The sequence below is a fragment of the Homo sapiens genome, chromosome 10, assembly GCF_000001405.40.
Source record: "Homo sapiens chromosome 10, GRCh38.p14 Primary Assembly".
NCBI classification, from domain to species: Eukaryota; Metazoa; Chordata; class Mammalia; order Primates; family Hominidae; genus Homo; species Homo sapiens.
This window is the reverse complement of record NC_000010.11, coordinates 13,600,559-13,623,958: the sequence shown is the minus strand read 5'-3', so window position 1 is coordinate 13,623,958 and position 23,400 is coordinate 13,600,559. Positions and strand designations below refer to the sequence as shown.

Here is a 23,400-nt window from a genome sequence, read left to right as displayed (position 1 = left end):
ATGATTAAGATGGTAAATTTTATGTTATGTATGTCACAATTTTTAAGTCTAAATGGAAGTAATACAGAATGTTCCAGATATGATATACAAATATCAGATACAGATATAGTTTGGTGTATCATAGCATGATATAGGATATATCCTGGATAATGAAAGTTCTTTATATCCGGAGAAATCAATAAACCATTAAAACAACCAACCTGCATCCACTAAAAAGATTAGCAATTTTTTTATTATTGCAGAAAACAAAAACTAAACCAAACCAAACCACAATCACAATTCTTTGCCTTGATTTGCCTCTTTAATATATCATTAGAACTTGAGGAAGATATTTTGTTTATAAGTAATCTTTATATTTAAGTATAAAGACATGTTGTTAAATCAATTATTTCTGTACCTTTTGCTAGTCTACACTATGAAACAAAGCCTTAAAGAGGAAAGCACAAATCCATTTAGTGGTACATCCTAAGAACGTGAAGAATAAAAAAACAAGATGAGTGACGTTTTCCACCCAGCTATTTAAAATTCTGTCATAAACTGCAAAAGTTCTAACATAATAATGCATTAATATGCAATACTTAAGTTAACGAATCCTAACTTCATACTATAGGAATGCTCATTTGACCTGAAATGTGATGTTCAAAAAATGTGTACTTAGTAAGTACATTTCTATCATTTCAACTAACATTTGTAGTCATGCATTAAAACGCCAATACTTCAAACACTGTCTATGGGAACTTTTTTTTTTTTCTTTTTTTGAGACGGAGTCTCGCGCTGTCACCCAGGCTGGAGTGCAGTGGCGCAATCTCGGCTCACTGCAACCTCCGCCTCCAGGGTTCATGCCATTCTCCTGCCTCAGCCTCCCGAGTAGCTGGGACTACAGGCGCCTGCCACCACGCCCGGCTAATTTTTTGTATTTTTTTTAGTAGAGACGGGGTTTCACTGTGTTAGCCAGGATGGTCTCCATCTCCTGACCTCATGATCTGCCCGCCTCAGCCTCCCAAAGTGCTGGGATTACAGGCGTGAGCCACCGTGCCCGGCCTGTGGGAACTCTTTTCACACAAATATATTGTTAAAACTGAATTCATCGAAACAACCCATTCTAGACTTTTAAATTACTGATCTGGGTTCAGCCAGTTGGGATGACGGCAGATAAGGGCAACTGCAGGCTGGTTCTAATAAGAAGCCCACTGTAAGTATTAAACATACAAAAACTTCAGTATCTGGAGGACTTATCAAAAAACTAAAGAAAACAGATAGCTTCAGACTAACTCAAACTGCCTGCATAGTTTATGGTAAGAAACAGACTCTGCTGCTCTTTTTACTTCTCTGTATTTTTGTTTTCTATACGAGAACAAGTTTCCAGTGCAAGGGTTTATTTCACAGAAAGTTACACCAAATTACAAACAACAACTCAAAAATTAAGTAAAAAGGTACCCCAAATGACTAATTTGAGGGAAGATTTCATTTACGTGAGTACCAGGTTTTCACAATAGAGACTGGTCTGGCTTTTTTTCCAACCGTGTGGTTGAGAAATGTAAGATGTAATACTCTACAGTAAAATGCCCTTTACCATCAACTAAGCTGCCAGCTAGAAAGCAGCATGGCCCAGTTTAGATCAGCATTCCCCCAAATCTGTTTCCAAAACACGCTAGTGTTCTATGACATTAAAAGGTATTACTATGTAAAACATAAATACTAGCAGTATTTTTCTCTAAAAATGTACTCTTTTAATATGCCAGGAAGATTAAGGGGGTAGACAGCTGTCATCATGCAACAACTTGCCTTTAGGAAACAGCTTACCATAGCCCAGAATGCCAGGCTGTGGCATGAAGCCACTCAACCCACAAGTGTGTGACATACATTAGAGCACTGAGGCATGGGAGCATTTACCAACAGCTATGATACTGTGTGTGCAACATACAGATCAAGCTGTGATCACTTATTGCAGTCATGAATGTTTCTGTTATACCAGTTTTGGTAACACGTGAACACATTACAAACTCACAAATGTTCCATGGACAGATAAATTTGGCAAATGCTAGCATAGATGAAATATGCCAAAACCTGAAACATGGATTGAAATAATTGACATAAAATATTGGGATGATGTCTTTACTAGGAAACTTATAAACTTAAGCTTACTGAAAACAACTTGCCAGAGAATAATATTATAGGATATTTACCTTTTGTAATAGCAAAAGCTTAACGGAAATCATTAGAAGATTATTATTCCTTAATCTTCTAACCTCCAAAGGAATCTGTAACACAGTGCACAGATCAATTCATCTATACATAGCGAGGAGGATGCCAGCAGTCGAACTGGATAATGTGATGGTAGTAGTTTCGAGGATGTTACAAAGGAGTGGGCTGGACTTAGGACCAACAAGACACAGTAGAGCAACCTAGCGCTGGCAATCCTGGGAAGCTGTGGCTAGCCCAAATTCTGAAGGCAAAGGAGGAGAGTGGCCACTGGAACCTAGGGAGGGTAGCTGTATGGAGACAGCCACCCGAGAGAAGCGACAGCCTCGGGCAGAGGGATGCAGTCACCCTAGGGGCCCCTCCAGGGAGCAAGTTGGGAAAATCAATACCCTAAACTCATTCTTCTCCAACCTACAAAATGCCTTCCAGTCCCTCTCATCGCCTGCTCCAGTCAGAAGCCACAGGGCAAGGGTGCCTATCAGTGTTGCTGGTAAAGTCACGTTTGGAGGGAACACAGTGAGGAAGGATAAGAGTAGCTCTGGTAGGGCAACAGCTCTTTGACATGCATTTCACCTCATCTTTTTCTCCTGTCTACCTTCCTTCCCTTATTTTTGACAAATAAAGAATGCCCAAGATGTGAACTTTTTCAAGAGCTATCTGGGAATGATTGAATTATAAAGTTTCTAAATAACCCAGAGCTTCCTATAATATATGTAAAAGAAGCTTTACCCAAAGTCTGGGCCAGGGGTTACATCTCTATTTGGAAGAATGAACAAAGACCTTAAAGCTACTACCACCAATTTCTACCTAACCCTGGACTTGAAGCAAGCCAGTAAGCTATAGAACTTTCCTTTGATCTGCCTGGAGAGAACCCTCCTTGTGGTATATTTAATTTTTGTGAGAAATAGAACACTTCAAATAACTTTCATTGTTTAAGTTCTACAGAGGTTTGCATAAAACCAAAAGATGAAATCTATGTTCCAGTGAAACTGCCCCTTGAATTATTGTCTATCATATTTCATAAAACATATTTTTCACCAGTATTTCTAAATAAAAAAATAATTATCTCAGACATTACAAGTTTCCATTTACATGATGCTCAAGAACAGGCAAAACTAACCAATAATGGTACATGTTAGAATAATGGTTACTTCTGATAGGAGGAGGAGGATTCAGGCTGGGAACAGGCATGAAGGAACCTGCTGGAAGTGTTCTAACTCCAGATCTTGTTTTACAGCTTGATATACATGACACGTATCAAGAATCATTGGGCTATACCATTAAGGTAGCAGACTTCAAGCACTACAATGTTTGTTGAGGCATTGAGGCATTTTATACCGCAATTTAAAAAGAAATAATTATTAAATGATTTTCATAATTACCTCCTCGGCCAACATCTTAGTGTAAAAAAGGTTTTGGGTTCGTTCATACATTTACTACGGGGCAGCAAACTGTGGTTCTCAGCCCACTTGCCTCTTTTCTACATGGTTTTACTGGAACACAGCCACTGGCTGCTTTTGTGCCTTAGCTGCATGGGTGAGTAGTTAGAGATGGCAAGAAGTACAAAGCCCAAGATATTTACTATCTGATCCTTTAAGGAAAATTTTGCCAACCCTTGACTTAAACTTCACATAATAAATTGTCTTTTTTTTAGGAGAATTCAAATTAATCTCATCCAGATACCAAAGTAACAAGAGGAACATTCTTTAGACAGCTTAGTAAATCAATCAGTAAATTGTAACCAAGAATTTTACAAAACTCTAACATAGGGTGGCCGCATTCTTCTGCTTGAGTTACACTATGGGTTTAAGACACAGATCACAAACTGGCATTCTGTTTAGCCTTACACGATGTTAATTTTTTTATTTGATGCCAACATTTAAAAATAGGAGAATACTTTTTTTTCAAAAACCAAGATTTTCCTTCTCATTAAAAAAAATCATGGAAGATCCAGCAACATTGGAACCATATTCCTACAAGGTAACAATGAGCTCAAGTGAATTCATCAACAGAGAGGCCAAGCATCACTGACACTCAGTATCGCTTCTGCATTGCTCATTTCTCTTACAGCACAGGTGAGAAGAAAATAAAATGCAGCTTCTAGTTGCACCTACATAAGGAGTAGGAAAGTGGAAGACAGAAGCCAGAGGTTTAACCCTCAGCTCACTCGTTATCTTAGTGACTCTTGGGCGCATGAGTTGAAACTTGAGGTTTAAGCAATGGCCTCTAGGGAAAATGGCAGAAAAGAATGAGAGGACTCTGGCCAGAAGGGCCAAAAAGGGCAATGTTTTATGCCTCCAGACATCAAGAGGTGGGTGTCTTCCTCCATCTCCCACCTTGGGACAACTCTGCCTATTAAAAAGCTTCTTACTATTTTTTGCAACTTCTTGTGAGTCTATAATTATTTCAAAATAAAAACGTTTTCTGAAAAAGCTTTGTCTTACACTAACTAAAAATCTGTCCAATTGTATAAAACAAGTTTAATCCTCTTCCATCAGAAAGTTCTACCATTTTCTATAGCAGGAAGTCCCCAACCCCTGGGCCACAGGCCAGCACTAGTCCGTGGCCAGTCAGGCAATGGGCCACACAGCAGAGGTGAGCAGAGGGCAAGAGAATTAGCACCTAAGCTCTGCTCTCCTCTGTCCTGGCATTAGATTCTCACAGGAGCGCAAACCCTATTGTGAACAGCACATGTGAGGGATCGAGGTTGCATGCTCCTTACTAACACCTGATGATCTGAGGTGGAACAGTTTCATCCTGAAACCATCCCCCTGACCTCCCCGATCCATGGAAAAATGCTCTTCCATGAAACCAGTCCCTGGTGCCAAAGATGTCAGGGACCGCTGATCTAGAACTCTTGCCCAGATTCTCACCAAGAGTCTCCTTTCTCGAGGACTAGGAAAAGAGCAATTATTATCACCTCTCTTGCTCTATCATGAATTCATTCAATTAGCAAATATTTATTAAGCACCCACCATGAGTCAGATATTGTTCTAGATTCTAGGGGTACAATACTGAACTATGTTCTTGCCCTGGAGAACCTACACTAAGTTATTAGGTGGCCATATCATACTACAAATTTTATTACACTAAATTTAGTCCACTAAATTCTTTCTTTTTTTTTTTTTTTTTTTTTTTTTTGACAGGGTCTTGCTCTGTCTGAAGTGCAGTGATGCAATCACAAATCACTGCAACCTTGAACTCCCAGGCTGAAGAGATCCTTCTGCCTCAACCTCTCCGGTAGCTAGGACTACAGGCACACACAACCATGCCTGGCTAGTTTCTATTTTTTGTAGAAATGGGGTCTCGCTATGTTGCCCAGGCTAGTCTTAAACTCCTGGCCTCAGGCAATCTTCCCGCCACAGCCACTCGAAGTGTTGGGATTACAGGTGTGAGCCACCATGCTCAGCCTCTAATTCTTTTTTATATCCACTGCCCAAATTATAAGCTTAAGCAAAAGGGTATATGGGTCCAATTTTCTTATGGTAATCCTTCCTTCCTAAATATTGTATTTTTAGACTCTGCCCTTCTCTCTCGTCTGTCAAGAACTTCTAGAATAGCAGTTTCTTTTCCACCTTAACATACACTCCATCCCTTCTAGTTTCTTGCTGTCTGCAAACCTGATAAACCCATCCTTCGGTATAGCCATCCAAGTCAGTCATTAAAAGGTTCGACAGGACAGCACTGAGGTCCCTAAGACCCCTGACATACATCTCTAGCATCTACCCTAAGAGACACGAGTCCATTATTTAATGCTCCATGGCTTCCCTCTGTCAATGAGCTATGAGTCCAGCCTGATTTGCCCTATCCACAAGAATACCACTGGGTCTGCCTCAAACACCTAGCTAAATTTCAAATACAGTATGCTCATCAATTTTCTCTAATCACCTAGGGGGCAAAAGAAGAATTTTTTTTAATGGGAAGAGAACAGTTAAAAAGGAAGAACAATGGAGTAAGGACAGGTCATTACATAGCTTCCAAAATAAACCAGAATTCTTGAATAAATGCTAGGTATACTTAAAAAAAAATCACTCCTCGGGGAGGTGAAAATCACATTACTGTTTATAAGAAATGTCTTTCAGACGATTGATTTAATCATATGAACTTTTATACACTATACCTTTGGCCACAATATAGATGAACACAATTAGCAAATTTAATCTTTGGAACCTGTTTTCTATTGTTAAAGCTAAGCAACTTTTTTTTTTTTCAGCTAAAAGCTTCTGCCTTTAATACACTCACTGGTGGTTATTAAAAAATGGAAATGTGGTTGAATTTCCAGAAGTATATTTGAACTCTGTATACAGTTCACATGAGGGAGTCCGATTGAAATCATATTTTAAAAAGCTATTATATGTGACTAAGGCATAAAGCATGACACGAATTAACATTCAGCACTTGGAAGTGAAATAAAAACAAAAAGATATTTCATGAATATGGTAATGACTGTTCTCTGGCACAAAATCTGAAAGCACTTTATGCATTTTAAGTGAACTTCAAATTTTAAGTAAACTTCCGGAGTATCACTGTCAAGTTTTAGAACTATCATCCAGCAAGTCATTTTACAGACACAATCTGGGATTTATGACAATCTGGCAAACACTACATTATAGTCGATTTTCTTCCCACTAGGGAGAAAAGTTTAGCCCAAAAACAGTACCAACAAGTTTATGTGAAGCATGTATAACTTGAAGAAAACAAACCATCGGCACTTTAGACCTATTCACATGACTAAAGAAGTGTTGTTACGTGCTACGTACATTAAAGCCAAGTCTTTACTCTCCATACATCTTGAACCCAGTAGATGTTAGATTTACCTTGAAAGCAACAAAGCAGGATTTATTGTAAAATACTCTAAGTTTGTTGCTCTTCACTAAACTCCCACATTTCTCTGATGAGCTCAACTTTTACTTCCTAATACACGTCTTAAAAAAAAAAAGCAAACTGCAATCATTTTATTTCAGTGCTAAGGTAATTAAAGCACAATACTTCACCCTTGTCTTCCAACATATATGAAAGTTGAAAGGTTTTTACTTTATTCAGTGAAGGTGGCTTCAGTGTCAGTGCTTATCCAGAGGGGACTTCCATCCTATCACGCTATGTTCTATTTGCTGTAATTCTCTGCCTGCTTTCCAGACTTAGAGTTTTGGGAATTAGAGAATATTCACTTCCAGGGCAATTCCCGGCTCTCCAAACTGCTTACCTGAATATATTTCCGCTGAGTTTCGTCATTTAAAACATGTGCAACATGCTTGGAAAAAATCTTTTCTCTGCCAGTTCTGGCATGGATACCAACCATAGTGACACCGATGGGCCAAGGCGCATTTCCAATGGCCATCTGAAGATAAGCATCATTTGCCTGAAAGGAAAGTGTAAGAAGAAATCAGAAAGGCGAAAATGTTGTACTGGCTCAAATTCTTACTGAAAGTATTTCACAGCCCTTTATGATGTAATTTTCGTCCACCTTTTGGGCACATGGAAAATATTACCATGACTGTTATTCAAACAAAACAGATTAAAATACAGGGTAACAGACTGCCCTGCCCAGGACCACCAATGTCCATGGAAAAAACAGAAACCAAAGCTAGGTTGTGAGTAAAAAAAAGGCAAACATTCCTTTGCAGCCTTTGTATGCTGGAAATTAATATGTTGCAGATCTGGAATTACCAGGTAGGCACTTCAATGCACTGATGAAAATTCTAGTTTTGGTCTCCTTTAGACCCAGTCTTCTCCACAGGGGGTCATGTAGAAGACAGGGGCTAAGTAGTTTTTCATCGTCCAACCCTAAACAATATCCACTCCCTACACAGCACTGTGGCTCTCTGAAGGAAGTGGGGGCTCAGTATGTGCCGACGACCACACAGGGTCTTTAACAGATGTGTAAACAGAGAGGAAACACTGGCCCTCCAGTCGAATAGCTGAAGGATGAGATCGCTCCACTTTGCCCCCCACCCCACCCCCTACCTGCCAAGAACCGTTAAAGAACAGCCACAAAAAATGAAGACAGAAACCAATGAAGACAAAAGGCTTTTTTTCCTAACCAAGCCTGGCTAGCTGTGAGGAAGAACAAGAAAAACATAAAGCAAATAAATTCTAAAGGACCTCAAGGGTTAAGAGAAGCTTATAAAGCCAGGCCTCAAGGAGATTTTAATTTAAAAAAATCAGACACCTATGAGATTGATAGGGAGAGTCAATTTTTTTAAAATCAGATACTACAGATAGGGTAGCTGGAAGATCATTTTCTACCCTAAAGATAAATGTGAACTTGCTCTGCTCACCGGTTTTATAAAGCTTAATTTAAAAAGGGCCTATGTACATTTTTATCACTAATTTTCATGTGTATAAACTTTAACATTGGATCTTAACTGATAAAAACTGCAATATTTAGTTTCCCCCAAATTTCAAAGAAACTGTCTAAACAGGTTATTAAAGCTTCTTGGTTCTTTCTGTAGTTTATACAAAATAAGCTTGCACTTGCACTTAGTTCTGATATGTGATCACGAGAAAAAGCAGTAAGAGGAAAGGCATCCATTCTAGCAGGGAGTGATGTGCATTCTTCCTGCAGTGATGGTGACCTTATCCATCCATGCCAATGCAACCATCCTTAGTAAGAATCATGCAACTGACAGAAACTAAGAAGCACATTTATAACTGTAAGACAAAAAATATTTTCTTTGAGAAAACTGGCTGGCTCTTAAAAGGAGTAAAATCACTGCAGGAACCTCTTTAGCCTAAGGCTCTAATCACGTAAATCATCCAGTCACTCAGGAATGCCAGCAGTCCCTTGTTACGTCAGTATACAGATACAGCACTGGATAAGCAATGTCATTCCGAGTTCCCTACCGCTCTGGCACTGGCACTGGGGTTGCTGCACTGAAATGCTCTACTCCTAGTGCCTTGGGAGGCACGGCCACAAGAAGCCTCCCTCAAACTCTGTTCTTTCTTCATTGCCACTACTGGTGCATTGGGCCCTTCCCTTCTTGTTCCCCTGTACCAACTGACAGTCCTCCTCTCATCCCTTTCTAAACTCTATCTCAGGGAGCCCTGGACACCAGCACCCTTTCCCTCACCGCTGCCTCCCAGAGCCCATTCAGGAGTATAGACACTGGGGCAAGGGAGGAGAGACTTCCACTGCAGGGGTCTGCAACGCTGAAATGGGAGAGATGAGTCCTGGAAGCCTTGCTTGAACCATTTCCCCATAGAAACAATTACAAAGAGTGGTTAAATTCCACTGTACCATCAGTGCAACAGTTCAGCTATATTACAGATTAAAGGGGCTTTTATGACCATCCTGGGAAACTCATCTATACAACGTTGTTTCTATGGGAAAATTTGTTCCAAGACATAATCAGCCATTTACAAAACTTTGAAATTCATAAAATGAACACTGCCTATATAAAGTTCATGCTCTGAAGAACCTTTAGGCCTATTTTAAAAATGACCAAGAGCATACAGATGAGGTCTGTATTTTCTTAGTCAGGTTTGTTATTCACTGCCTAACAGTAAAGCTGGCAAATACAATAGAAAATAAAACGCTTTTTACTACTAACTCATCTCACATTTATTCTTAAATCTACTATGTAAAATCCTCCTATCCCAAATGAACATTATATTACGTACATAACCTAGATATACTCTTAACAATTTCAAAGAACAGCATGGGAATGTACCTTCACGTATTCTCTCTGCAACATGAATTTAATAATATCCGTTATTGATTCTTTAATATCAGCAGGAAGATTCTGAAAAAAATAAATAAGAAATTTTGGAAGCTACTATGTATAGATGTATAGGGAAAAAACAGACTGCATTTATTCTAAATTTATACTGTATTTTTAAAGTCAGTTAAAAAAAGTATTTTCCAAGAAACCTCACCCTTTTCCGTAGCTTTCTAAAAAGTGGTCTTAGGTAGGACTCGGTCTGTTTCTGGGTCGCACTGTTCAGTTTACCCTGCACACTGCGTTTCACATAATCTTCTCTGGCATTCAATTCTTTAGCCCAAACGCCAAGAAGAAACTGTTGAAAGGATGGGTAAACTTAGACTACAATGCCACCCAGTGGTTCAGTACATCTAAATGCTCTCTAGCACACAAAAACAGAATACAATCATCCTTAAAGTAAATGTCTTGATTAAAATGCCACCAAATAATATAGAATAAGCTAGTTCTGCTTATTGGTCATGATAATGCTTTGAAGTAGTACCTTTGGCAAGTCACCAACTTCCCTAGTCTACATCTATTCCTAGCTCAGGATAATTTGCTTCCCTCAGAAAACAACTATCAAGTTTCATAGTTAACTATTTGAGAGGAAATAAACTTGTATTTGTATTTGTATTATATACATAAAATTCAACAAGTTACGAGTTACAAGAAAACTGGACTTTCTACATATGCTGTAGAGACCATGATTAAGTTTAAAAACCATGAAAGCACCTGACTAAAGGAGAGGAAGGAGAAAGAGAAACAGAAATAAAGAAGCCAAGACCCAGCATTCCCACTCCACCCCCACCCCTAGATAACTACCTCAGTGCCCCTTGGGTTTAACTGTATAAAGGGCACCCTTCCTGGAAGTAGGAAACAGAGAAGGCTGAGGAGGATGTTGTCCTCTAGGGGCATCATCTATGCATATCCTAAAAAAGAAGAGGCCATCACTCAAAGAGGAAATTCTAGTTCATACTAATTCTTATGCCCTATCTACTTCCATGCTGTATCCTCAATATATTCAGAATCTTGATGAATAATATGTTGTATCTAAACTGTACACACAAGAAAAAGCATTCCTTGCATGTAAATCTCTTGGTCTGAACACAGTTTGTGAATAAACAATAAAATATCTGGGATTTGTTCATACTCTATCTAGACCACTAAAGAGAGAAATGTTGAGAAGACGGTTGGAATCAGCAAGTCAGCAAAAATAGGCAGCTATTTGTAGAACTGAAGAATTGAGCACTCTCTGTAAGGTTACAAAAAAAACTAAAAAATTAGCTGGGCATGGTGGTACATGCCCTACCACTCGGGAGGTTGATGAGCCCAGGATTTCAAGGTTACAGCGAGCTAGGATGACACCACTGCACTCCAGCCTAGGCAACAGAGAAAGACACTTTTGCTTAAAAAAAAAAAAAAAAAAAAAAAAAAGCTAGAACCCTCTTCTTCCTTGGGTTGTCTAGAAATTCAGCGGGACACTGTGGCTCATGCCTATAATCCCAGGATTTTGGGAGGCCGAGGCAGGTGGATCACTTGTGGTCAGGAGTTCAAGACCAGCCTGGCCAACAGGGTGAAAACCTGTCTCTTTACTAAAAAAATAAATAAATAAATAAATAAAAAATACAAAAACTAGTCGGGTGTGGTGGCATGCTACTTGAGAGGCTGAGGCAGGATAATCGCTTGAATCCAGGAAGCAGTGGTTGCAGCAAGCCGAGATGGTGCCACTGCATTCCAGCCTGGGCGACAGAGCAAGACTCTGCCTCAAGAAAAAAATAAGCAACTCTACCAACTTCTTATTAATTCTGCTGTTGTGATTCTTTTCTATGTGTTTACATTAATGAGCCAGCTTTAAAAAATATGCCACAAGAAAAGCAGACCAGTCGCAGTGGCTCATGCCTGTAATCCCAGCACTTTGGGAGGCTGAGGTGGGTGGATCACCTGAGGTCAGGAGTTCAAGATCAGCGTGGCCAACATGGTGAAACCCGATCTCTACTAAAAATACAAAAATTAGCCAAGCATGGTGGTGGGTGCCTGTAATCCCAGCTACTCAGGAGGCTGAGGCAGGAGAATCACTTGAACCCGGGAGGTGGAGGTTGCAGTGAGCTGAGATTACACCACTGCACCCCAGCTTGAGAGACAAGAGCAAGACTCTGTTTCCAAAAAAAAAAAAAAGCCACAAGAAAAGTAAATATGCATTTTCTCTTACTAACTGCTACATCAAGTGCATAGTGATATCATAAACATCATGTATGTGTGAGAAATGTGTATTGAGGCTTTCCCGTTCCAGCCTTTAACCCTTGGTAATCCAAAAATATAAGAATAGTTCATAAGGATCCAAGGCATCCTCATCCCCTCGCCTAAGACACGCACCTTCAGGAATTTGGTGATGATGTCCATGTCTTTATGATCATCGCCTTTCCCTAAGGACTCTCCAAGCGCCTGAAGAAAAAGAAACAATGCTTCTGTTCATTAATACAGAGCAACAACTAAACATATATATTACCAACACCAGTCTAAACATGGCTCTTGGTCACATATGCTGTTCAATTTTTACTTAAAAATCGGATGGAATTTCTAGATAAGAAACCAAAAACAAAAAACACGGATTTGCCACTTAAATTTGGAGAGCATGTTACCTTTTATGAAAAGTCAAGAGGGGGTAATGAATGTGAGATTTCTTTTTGGGGGAACCAAAATGTTCTAAAATTAGATTGTGATAATGGTTGCACCACCATGTGAATATACTAAAAACCACTGATTTGTATATGTTAAATCAGTCAACTGTATGGTATGTCAATATCTCAATAAAGCTGTTTTTTAAAAATAAACAAATAAATACACCAATAGGAAAAAAAAAAAAAAAAAAGCCCACAACTGGTTGCCCATACCAATTATTTTAGTAAAATTTAGGGACCATAGACAGGTATTGGAGGAGGCAGGGGATTAAAATGACGTCTTCCTCAACTATGATCTTATTCAGAGGGACAGCTACACATACAAGAGCCAGGAATTAAAGGAAACAGAAAAATAAGTTTATGTTTCCTTAAGCATTAAGAACTTTAAGCCATATTTATTTTACATGCTACTTACATGATACAAAATTGCTTTTTAATTAAGATTATACACTAACACTCCAAAAGCAGCACTATAGCAAAAATCAGACAGCAAGATATTGCCAAGCGTTGGCAGGGCTGGAAAGACAGGGGACCCTCACACTGCTGGGTGTAGACTAGGACAGCCATTCCAGAGAGTAACTTGGCAGTACTTAGACAAGTTAAATATACATATATAAATCCCACAATCCCACTTTGCTAGGCCATCGTGGTTATGCACAAGACTGTTCATCAGGAAGCTGTTTGTGGTAGGAGAGAGCTGGGAACAATCTAGCTGTCCATCATTACCGGAGAACAAAAAGTCAAATGCAGTGAATGGCGTAACACATGGAATCCTATGTAGCAATTAAAAGCAAAGGATTCAGTGTACACAGAGCATCAAGGATAGCTCTTAAAAACATAGTGCTAACTGAAAAAAAGAAAAGTAAAACACGGAATAAAGAATTTCACAGCATAACATCATTTATGTAAATCAAAAATACATGCTCACAAAACACTGCAGGTCACAAGAGCACCAACAAACAGAAAGATGCATATCCAACATATTAGAATGGGTTCCTTTTGAAGGCAGGAAGTAGGGGAATGTGAGTGGAGGATGAGAAAAAGGGGAGTAAATAAATAAAAGCGAGGAGTAAATAAACAAAAGACCAAGGACAACAGTGTGCTCTGCCCTCAACAATCTGCCCGACTCAGTCATCTGCTCCAGAGGAAAAAGAAGGGTGCCAGGGATGTGCTGGGCTTGGTGTAGAGATTACCTCTAACTCTTCAATTGTGGTGTTTTCCTCATGAACTTTCAGATCATTCTGTGTGTCTTCCTCTCCAGGCTCCTGACCGCCGACGATTTCATTGAGGTACTGCTGATCAATCTTATCCAAGGCTGCTTTCAAATCATTCCTCAATCCCTAAGAAAAGCAAAAAAAGGAAGAACACCTGTTATGAAAGGAAGAACACCTGTTTTTTCACCTTTGATTTTTCATTAATAACTGCAAATATTTTTTCCCCCACAAGAAGAGTTCAGCAAAAGTAGGGACTCAAATCACATCAATTTATCACACAACTATCACTACTGTCCATTTAAAGTTAATTCTTACGGACCTATTTAAATTAAAACAATGCACAAACAATGGCCAGTCTGCTGGTCAGAAAAATAAAATACACGTGAGTGACAAATCCAAGTAAGAATCTTCATCAATGCTGTAATTTTCTAATGAGGCTTAGTGACAGTGGCAGGTCTCCATTAGAGTCCCCAACCCGTTTGCCCAGCTCATTTACAATGTCTAACCTCAACTACTGTGAACTCCCAAAACATTCAGAAACATCAGTGTAATAAAATTGGTGCCTCATCTATATCCCAGGTTCTCAACTATGTTTCTAGCAAACCAGCAAATTCGCATTTTATGCACATATGGTTCATGACCCTTTAATGAAAATGGAAGCCTCATCTTCCTAAAAATGAATGAGAATCAGCTGCAAGGTTTAAGAGCCAAGGAAACATGGCTGTGAGGCGGCTATAGGGTAATGGTTGAGAGTAAAAGCTATCTGGGTTCAAATCCTTGCCACATACTATTAAATAGCTCTTTGAAAGCTTGCTTAACCCCTGTGTGCCTCAGTAGACTCACCTACAGAATAGGAGTAATGGCACCATCTACTACGTAGGGCTGTAATAAGGATGCTATTTTTTATTTCAGTGAACAGTTACTATGTGATGCAGCTGTTCCAGAACCTCGCAAACATCAAGTCACGCAAGTAAGCTAAGAAATGGACGATGAGCTTTGAACAGTTACTGGAGCACGGTGCACATTCAACCAATGTTAACTCCTAACGTTCTCACACAAAAAGCATCTGATCATTGTCTCCTGTCCCTTCATAAACACAGAAGAGAAACATTCAACTCAAAACACTTATAATTTCTCAAACACTGACTGATCACCTGCTGTGTAAAAAGTATGACGCCAGGCATTCCCAGAGGTCACCTCATCGAATTCTCAGTGCATCCCAGTGAGCCAAATATCACTGCCTCTGTTTTACCAATGAAGATTCTAAGGTTCAAATAGAGTAAAAGACTTGCCAACGGCCAAATAATTGATTACTATAATCCAGGAATGGAATCCAGACCTTGTGCTCCTGTGCTTTGTCCTCAAAACCTCTAGATGCACGGCACAGGACTTGGCATACAAAGGTAAAACAGCCTTTGCCCACCAGGAAGAGATAAATATGCACATAACTCTAATAATAGCGAAAAACAGTAAGTACACTAACAAAGGTTTACTCATAGGCACATGGAGAAGGAAGCAATTAATTCTGACTGGGACCAAAAATAGATTCCGAGAGAAGATGTGGTCACTGAATTGCATGTGAAAGTATAAAAACAAGATTTCAACCAGAGCATACAAGGCAGAAACACAGCAAGCAAAGGAAAAATGATCATTACAGACACAGAGGACTGAAAGCAACTGCTAGTGTTGTGGGGCTGGAATGACAATGCTGGGAAGTAAAGCAGGAAAGTGGTTTGGCAACAAAGAAAGCAGTCAGACAGCCCAGGCTAGCAGACAGAGCAGGTCGGGGAGCGGGCCTGGCCAGCCCCAGCTGTTCCTGCCATTCCAACTGAGACGCCAGGAAAGGGGCAAGATATCAGCTTAGAAGACCAGTCCAGAGGCAGCCTCACATGATTTCGGCCGCAGCCTTCATCTGACTGCAATCACAATAAAGACCCCAAGCAAGATACTGCTCAATCCAGCCCAATAAAACCACAGAACTGGTAATTATTAAGACAATAACAAATTATCTTAAGCTATCAAGTTTCAGGGTGGCTTGTTAATCACCAAAAACAGATTTGGTAATGATAAATCCTTTATAATAAATAAACAAACACTAGTAAGTTTTGGAGTAGTCTGTTACATAGTCATAGGTAACCACACCTGTCTCTCAATAATTGAGAAAGCAAGTAGATAAAAAGTTAGCAAGGCCAAAGAAGATCTGAACAACACTATCATCACTGACATTTGTAGAACTGTACCATGAAAGCAAAACAATACTCTTTTCAAGAGCCCATGGAATAAACCATATGCTAAGCCATAAAACAAGATCAGAGCCTTAAATGTAAAGCAAAAACTATAATATTAAGCTTCTAGAAGAAAATTAAGAATATATATTTGAAATCTTGGGATAGGCAAAGATTTCTTAAGCAGGACACAAAAAGCAATGACCATAAAAGGAAAAAACAATAAATTGGACTTCATTAAAATATAAAACTTCTGGCCCGGGCACTTCGGGAGGCCAAGGCGGGAGGATCCCTTGAGTAGAGGAGTTCAAGATCAGCCTGGGCAACATGAGGAGGCCTCATCTCTACAAAAATTAAAAAATCAGCCAGGCATGGTGGCACACACCTGTGGTCTCAGCTACTTGGAAGGCTGAGGTGGGAGATCGCTTAAGCCCAGGAGCTAGAGGTTGCAGTTAGCCATGATCATGCTGAACTCCAGCCTGGGTGAGAGTGAGACCCTGTCTCAAAAAGCGTGTGTGTACACACACACAAACTTCTGTTCAGCAAAAGATTCAATTAAGAGAACAGGTAAGCCCTAAACTACAAGAAAATAGTCACAAAAAATATTCGTATATCTGACAAAGAACTTCTATCCAGAATATACAAAGAATTCCTATAATCCATTTACAAAAAGACAAGTTTATTTTTAAAATGAACAAAAAGCGCCTGTAATCCCAGCTACTTGAGAGGCTGAGGTGGGAGGACTGCTTAAGCCCAGGAGGTTGCAGCTGCCATGAGCCATGATTATGCCACCGCATTCCAGCGTAGGTGACGGAGTGAGACTCTGTGTCAAAAAAATAAATAAATAAGGAAAGAAAGACTTTAACAGACACTACACAAATGAACACAACTTTATGAAAAGATGCTCCTCATCTTTAGTCATCAGGTAATGTGATTAAAGCCGCAAAGAGCTACTACCAGACACAAAAGAGAATGGTTAAAATTAAAAAGACTAACAATACCACATGCTGGGGTTTGGAAATGACTGGCATTTCTTATGAAGTTAAGCATACATCTACTCTTATTATCCAGCAATTCTACTTCTAGGTATCTCCCCAAGAGACCTATTTATTTACCCAAGAAAAATAACATAGTTCCAAAAAAAGATCTGCATAAGAATGGTCATAGCAGTTTTATCCCTGTTTTTTTTTTTTTTTTTTTTTTTTTGAGAAGGAGTCTCACTCTGTCGCCAGGCTGGAGTGCAGTGGCACAATCTCAGCTCACTGCAACCTCCACCTCCCGGATTCAAGTGATTCTCTTGCCTCAGCCTCCCAAGTAGCTGGGAATACAGGCACACGCCACTACGCCCAGCTAATTTTTGTATTTTTAGTAGAGACGGGGTTTCACCATGTTGGCCAGGATGGTCTCGATCTCTTCACCTTGTGATCCACCTGCCTCAGCCTCCCAAAGTGCTGGGATTACAGGCTTGTGCCACCACGCCCAGCCAGCAGTTTTATTCCTAATAGCCCAAAGCTGGAAACAAATTTTGATATATTCATACAACTGAGTATCACTGGAAAATGAAAAGGAAACCAGTGGTATCTGCAATAACATGGATGAACCTAAAAACTGATATGCTGAGCGAAAGAAGCCAGACACACAATCTATGAGTCCATCTGTATGAAATACAAGAACAAGCAAAATTAATCCATGATGACAAAATTCAAATGGTGGCTGCCCAGGAAGGGATGAGGAGAAATATGAGGATAGGCTGAGAAGGGGTACTGGGGAAATTTCCTTTTTCTCTTTTTTTTCAACTTTTAAGTTCAGGGATACAGCTGCAGGATGACAGGTTTGTTACATAGGGAAACGTGTGTCGTGGTGGTTTACTTCACAGATCATCCCATCACCCAGCTATTGAGCCCAGCATCCATTCGCTATTCTTCCTGATGCTCTCAGGGAAATTTCTTTGGTGACGAAAATGTTCTATTTCTTTATAAGGGCAATGGTTATATGCTTGTATGTATTTGTCAAAATGCATTAAATGTTATACTTAAGATATGAGCTTTTCAAAAAATTAATGAAAACTTCCATTCAGCAGCAATAATCTGCTCACTTTACTTTTCCATTGTTGCCTACAATAATGCAATTAGTCAAACTCTATTCTAGTGAATGCAGTACAGTGGTATTTTTCTAGCTTTGTTCTGTCCTCTTACCTTGTTAACTTCTGGTGTGAGGATCTCTATTTTCCTTAAACGTTGAAAAGCATCATAATCAGTCTCTCCAAATAGTCTGATTGGTTCTCCTCTTTCTCTCAATCTTCTGATGACCTACAAAGTGAAACAGATACCCAGTAAATTTTTTTTTTTTTTTTTTTTTTTGAGACAGTCTCACTCTGTTGCCCAGGCTGGAGTGCAGTGGTGCGATCTCGGCTCACTGCAAGCTCCGCCTCCCAGGTTCAAGCGATTCTCCTGCCTCAGCCTCCCGAGTAGCTGGGACTACAGGCGCCCGCCACCACACCCAGCTAACTTTTGTATTTTTAGTAGAGATGGGGTTTCACCATGTTGGCCAGGATGGTCTCAGTCTCCTGCCCTTGTGATCCGCCTGCCTCGGGCTCCCAAAGTGCTGGGATTACAGGCGTGAGCTAATGTGCCCAGCTATTAAACTTTTGAGAGAGGAAAAAACTAAACATCTCAAAAACAATTTGTATATTGTACCTTAAAAGCCAAGCCTGGGTTTAATAAAAGCTAATTATCCAAATACATGCCTCTGTGTAAAGTATAAAATCCTTCAAATATTTTAGATCATTTCAATTAAGCTAAACAAAGATGTTTCCAAATCAAAGAGAAAATCAAGTACTTTAAAAATCTATTTTGACTCAAAAGTCACTGTTATTAATTTTATCACTGAACAGCTCCTAGAAAGTGGTCTGACCTATGACTCTACAATTCAAGTCTAAAGAAAGACCCTAATATAAACCACCTCTTTTACTGTGAGATTTTTAAAAAATTCTTTTTTGTAAGAAAAGGGGCATGTCTGTGGCCCTCATTTTACATAATTATAACTGTTCTTAGTCTTCTTTTAAAAACAATGGAAAGACAATAGTAATCCCTTATGTCAGCATATTTTTGGTGATCAAACACTTGTTTTGAAATGTAGATGAAAAAAGTAATCTGTTTATTCTTTTAATTTTCCATAAACAGATATACTGTGTTACCATCACACCTTAAGTAACCATAAAGTTTAGGTCGTTTAGCTCACTGCTTCGATAGGACCAATCTGTGTGGCAGGACACACAGGAAAAACACTAAGATGGGAGGGAATGACAGCATTTATAGAGAGAAGGAAAATCAAATCTGAAGCCAGCTGATAATTACCATAATGGACAGTCTGCATTGTAATACCACCATGAAACCAAAAACTTCTCCCTCAGAAAACAGGGAGTTATAATCTGCATATGCAGAGCTTTTAAGATGCTGAAAATCTATTTCCAAACTTGGGTGATGGTTACATGAATATTTATTTTATAATTATTCATATATGTGTAACAAACATATATTGCCCTAACATGGTTCATACACTTTATATACATGCTATGTATGTCATTTTAAAAAGGAAGAAAGAAACAGAAAACGTAATAAATACTAGTCCAAATTTTTTAAATAAAGCAATAATGAGAAACACCAAGAGCTTTACCTGGGAGCATAAATAGCATCACACCTAAAATCCATTGAGAGGGCTCCCAGTGGATTAACAGAAGTTTGAGATTAAAACAGAAATTTAAGAGGTCATCTAGTGCTATCTCCAATCAATGCAGAAATGACCTCACAAACACCCTTGTCAGATCCCTGGCTGACAAATGGCAGGAATCACATTTCTTCGTGAAACATCCCATCCCATTGTTTAGACAGAGATGTTTTGCTTCTCAAAACTGAAATCTACTTCCCCCAAACTTCTACCCATTTATCCCAGTTCCACTTTATGAAACTACAGAGAATATTCTGATTTTCCAAAATCAGAGCTACTTTCATTGGATTTTTAAAGATATCTCTAGTAATTCTTCTCTCCAGCCTCACTATTCTAAATTCCTTCACCTCATCTTCATATGATGGTTTCTAGAGTCAGTCACCATTCCCCTGAAAATTTCCTTTTATGCAATGTCCGTCATAAACATGTGGTAATGTAGAACTAAATAATAATACTACAAACATGTCAACTTGCGAGAAGTACAGAATACATAAGCCTTTGATCTAGACGCTTTATTTCTATGACTTACATTCAGTCCTATCCACAACTACAGAGGTCGAACAGGAAGAGACTACTGAGGACTCAAAGATGAAAGATGACCCTAAGTCAGTCAGTCAAAGACAAAAACAACCTCGACAGAAAAAAGAAAGGGAATGTGAGCTAGTTATTACTGTAAAACACTGCTTAAGATTGGGTGCTATAACTTAGGCCAAGTTGTGAGGAGTGCATAATATTTTTCTGGTTATCAGTTTAAATAGCTAACTCTCATCTACCTGGAATTATATAACAGTGGTTCTGTCTAAAGGCAAGGTAATAAACTACCTGACTTCGAAATTTCTTTTAGTGCAAGAATTCTATTATTCTAATTTTTTAAATAAAGAAGCTGAAATATACCACCACCACCACCACCACCACCACCTCCCCCAAAAAATGACACAGAGACTAAAGGGACATCAGTGAAAGAACTTAAGCCTCTGAGTCCTCTTTTACTATTTCAATAGACGCTCGCTGAGCAAAGGCAGGAACTTCTTCCCCATATCATGTCTACTACTTAACTGATGTACCACTATTAATCAGTAACAATGGTTTACTAATGATGGATCTCACAAAAAGAACAACTTCTTAAAACTACGTCGTCTTTTAACTCAAGCTTTTCAATGTTTAAAGATAAAGTAAATTCTAGGCCAGGCGCAGTGGCCCTCGCCGGTAATCCCAGCACTTTGTGAGGTCGAGGCGAGCAGATCACCTGAATCAGGAATTCAAGACCAGCCAGGCCAACATGGCAAAACCTCGTTTCTACTAAAAATACAAAAATTAGCAAGGCCTGGTGGTGCATACCTGCAGTCCCAGCTACTTGGGAGGCTTAGGCTTCAGAAACTCTTGAACCCGGGAGGCGGAGGTTGCAGTGAGCCTACATCATGCCACTGCACTCCAGCCTGGGAGACACAGTGAGACTTTGTCTCAAAAAATCGAAAAGTAACAGAATTCTAAAATATGTAAGTGACGTGAAATTTCAAGTATTTTGACTATGAAGTTAATATATACTCATTTGAGATACAAAATTAAAATATAAAGAAAATTACATTTTCTATATATAAAGAATGAGTTCATAAAGGTAGTGGAAAAAAATTAATATATCTTTGTTTAACTCTTAGGAACAGAGGAAACCTTTCCAAGCATGATGCTCAAGACAAAAAAAAAAACATAATGAAAAAGACTGATGTCATCGTATAAAAATGTAAAACTTCTGCATGGCAAAAAATAAATGATACACTGACAAATATATATATACACTATGTACATCTGATACATACACACTTATGAACACAGGTTAACACCCTTAACATATAAATATGTTGATCTGCAAATCAATAAAGACAAATTTCACAATATAAAAATGGCAATTCCACAAAACAAGAGACATTAACGACCACTGAACACGTGAAAACATGTTCAATTCTAATAATCACTAATAGAAAGTTTCACATTAACACAAGATACCTATTTCACCCATCAGTTTGGCAAAAATTTAAAATAATAATCTGCTTTCAGATTGGCAAAGGCTGAAACATTTTAAAATAAAGAGTTGACAGAAATGCTAGGAAGTCTTACATACTTACAGTTGGAATGTAAATTGGCACAGCTTCTTTGTAGGACAATTCCACACAATCAAAAATTACATAGACACACACTCTGACCAGAAATTATTTTCCTAGGAAATTATCCTATTGATAAACTCATACGAATATCAAGACATATGTATAAGGAAGTTCACCTTAGCACTGCATGTAAGGGCAAACAACTGGAAGTAATCTATCCATCAGTAAAGAGCTAATTTTAATAAATTACAGAACTACTACTAAAAACAATACCTAAATTTGTTGAGTAGCTCACTATTAAGGACTGTTCTCTTCATGCATTACCTTATTTTATCATGAAAGTCTCCTGAGGTAGACCCAATTGTTACCCTCATTCAGACATAAGGAAATTGAGAAACAGACCAGATAACCTGCCCAAAGCACATGTTTACTGTAAAAAATGTTCATACACACACACCCCCCAACATAAAATGGCCTTCAAAATGTACTTTTAAGTGAAAAGACTAAGGCACAAATGCATGTCATCTCATTTGTGTGAAAGGGAAAAAAGGTATACACATACACACTGACGCTTGTACAAGTGAAGAACTGGGTAGGAGGACTGATCGGGGCACAGGGGGAGTGGGAGGAAACGGAAGATAAGAAAAAGGGAAGACATTTTTGTTTTACAGCCTTTTGTATTGATTTGATTTCTTTATATCACTTGATTATCTTTAAATTTTATGATTTCTTTTAAGTAAAATAATAGTTGGTACTGATCAAGGTATAGACAAACACTATAAACACAACAGCTAGGAGTATAAAGTGGCACAACATGGCTAATACCTCCACAGCTATCTGGTAATATATATCAAGTCTTAAAAATATACGTAGTCTTTGCCCTAAAAATCATGCTTCTAGAAATGTTTCCAAAGGAAATAATCACACATTATTATGTATGCAATGATGTCTACATAAGGATGTTCATCTTAGTATTATTTATAATAAGCAATCTAAATGATCATCAATAAATGATTTTTTAAATATTACGGTGCGGCCAGGCGCGGTGGCTCACACCTGTAATCCCAGCACTTTGGAAGGCCGAGACAGGTGGATCACTTGAGGTCAGGAGTTTGAGACCAGCCTGGCCAACATGATGAAACCCCATCTCTACTAAAAATACAAAAAAAAATTAGCTGGGTGTGGTGGCACACGCCTGTAATCCCAGCCACTCAGGAGGCTGAGGCAGGAGAATCGCTTGAACCCGGGAGGCAGAGATTGCAGTGAACTGAGACTGCACCACTGTATTCCAGCCTGGGCGACACAGTGAGACTCTGTCTCAAAATAAATAAATAAAGAAAGAAACATTATGGAGCAAACAAGCAATGGGAAATTATACACTCATTCAAAATTATGTAGATCTCCATATTTTAATCTGGAAAGACGTATTATTAAATAAGGGAAAGGGAAGTATGTTACAAAATAATAATTAAAATAATTTAAGTATAAATATTTAGCATAAGAGCATTTAATTATACTTATTTTTGAATATTCATGTTTATTTTTTAAAGTTTAGA

General features: G+C 38.8%; 1 protein-coding gene across 62 annotated transcripts in view; it reads right to left on the bottom strand.

Annotated features, from left to right (window-relative positions):
• The window catches only part of PRPF18 (pre-mRNA processing factor 18), a 68,965-nt gene that overhangs the window by 31,971 nt on the left and 13,594 nt on the right, over positions 1-23,400 (bottom strand). For 52 of the 62 annotated variants that reach the window (NR_172905.1, NR_172906.1, NR_172904.1 and 49 more), the window contains 6 exons: positions 18,215-18,328; positions 13,774-13,920; positions 12,276-12,344; positions 10,078-10,218; positions 9,873-9,944; positions 7,406-7,561 (listed from right to left, as the gene is read on the bottom strand). Coding sequence is in view for 59 of the 62 variants with exons in the window: in XM_047425923.1 (XP_047281879.1) it covers positions 7,406-7,561; positions 9,873-9,944; positions 10,078-10,218; positions 12,276-12,344; positions 13,774-13,920; positions 18,215-18,328 (699 nt within the window). In the remaining 3 variants the exon portion in view is untranslated. Of the gene's footprint in view, positions 1-6,962; positions 7,020-7,405; positions 7,562-9,872; positions 9,945-10,077; positions 10,219-12,275; positions 12,345-13,773; positions 13,921-18,214; positions 18,329-23,400 lie in introns of all 62 variants that reach the window. The other 10 variants (XM_047425966.1, NM_001395883.1, NM_001395880.1 and 7 more) reach the window with 5 other exon arrangements.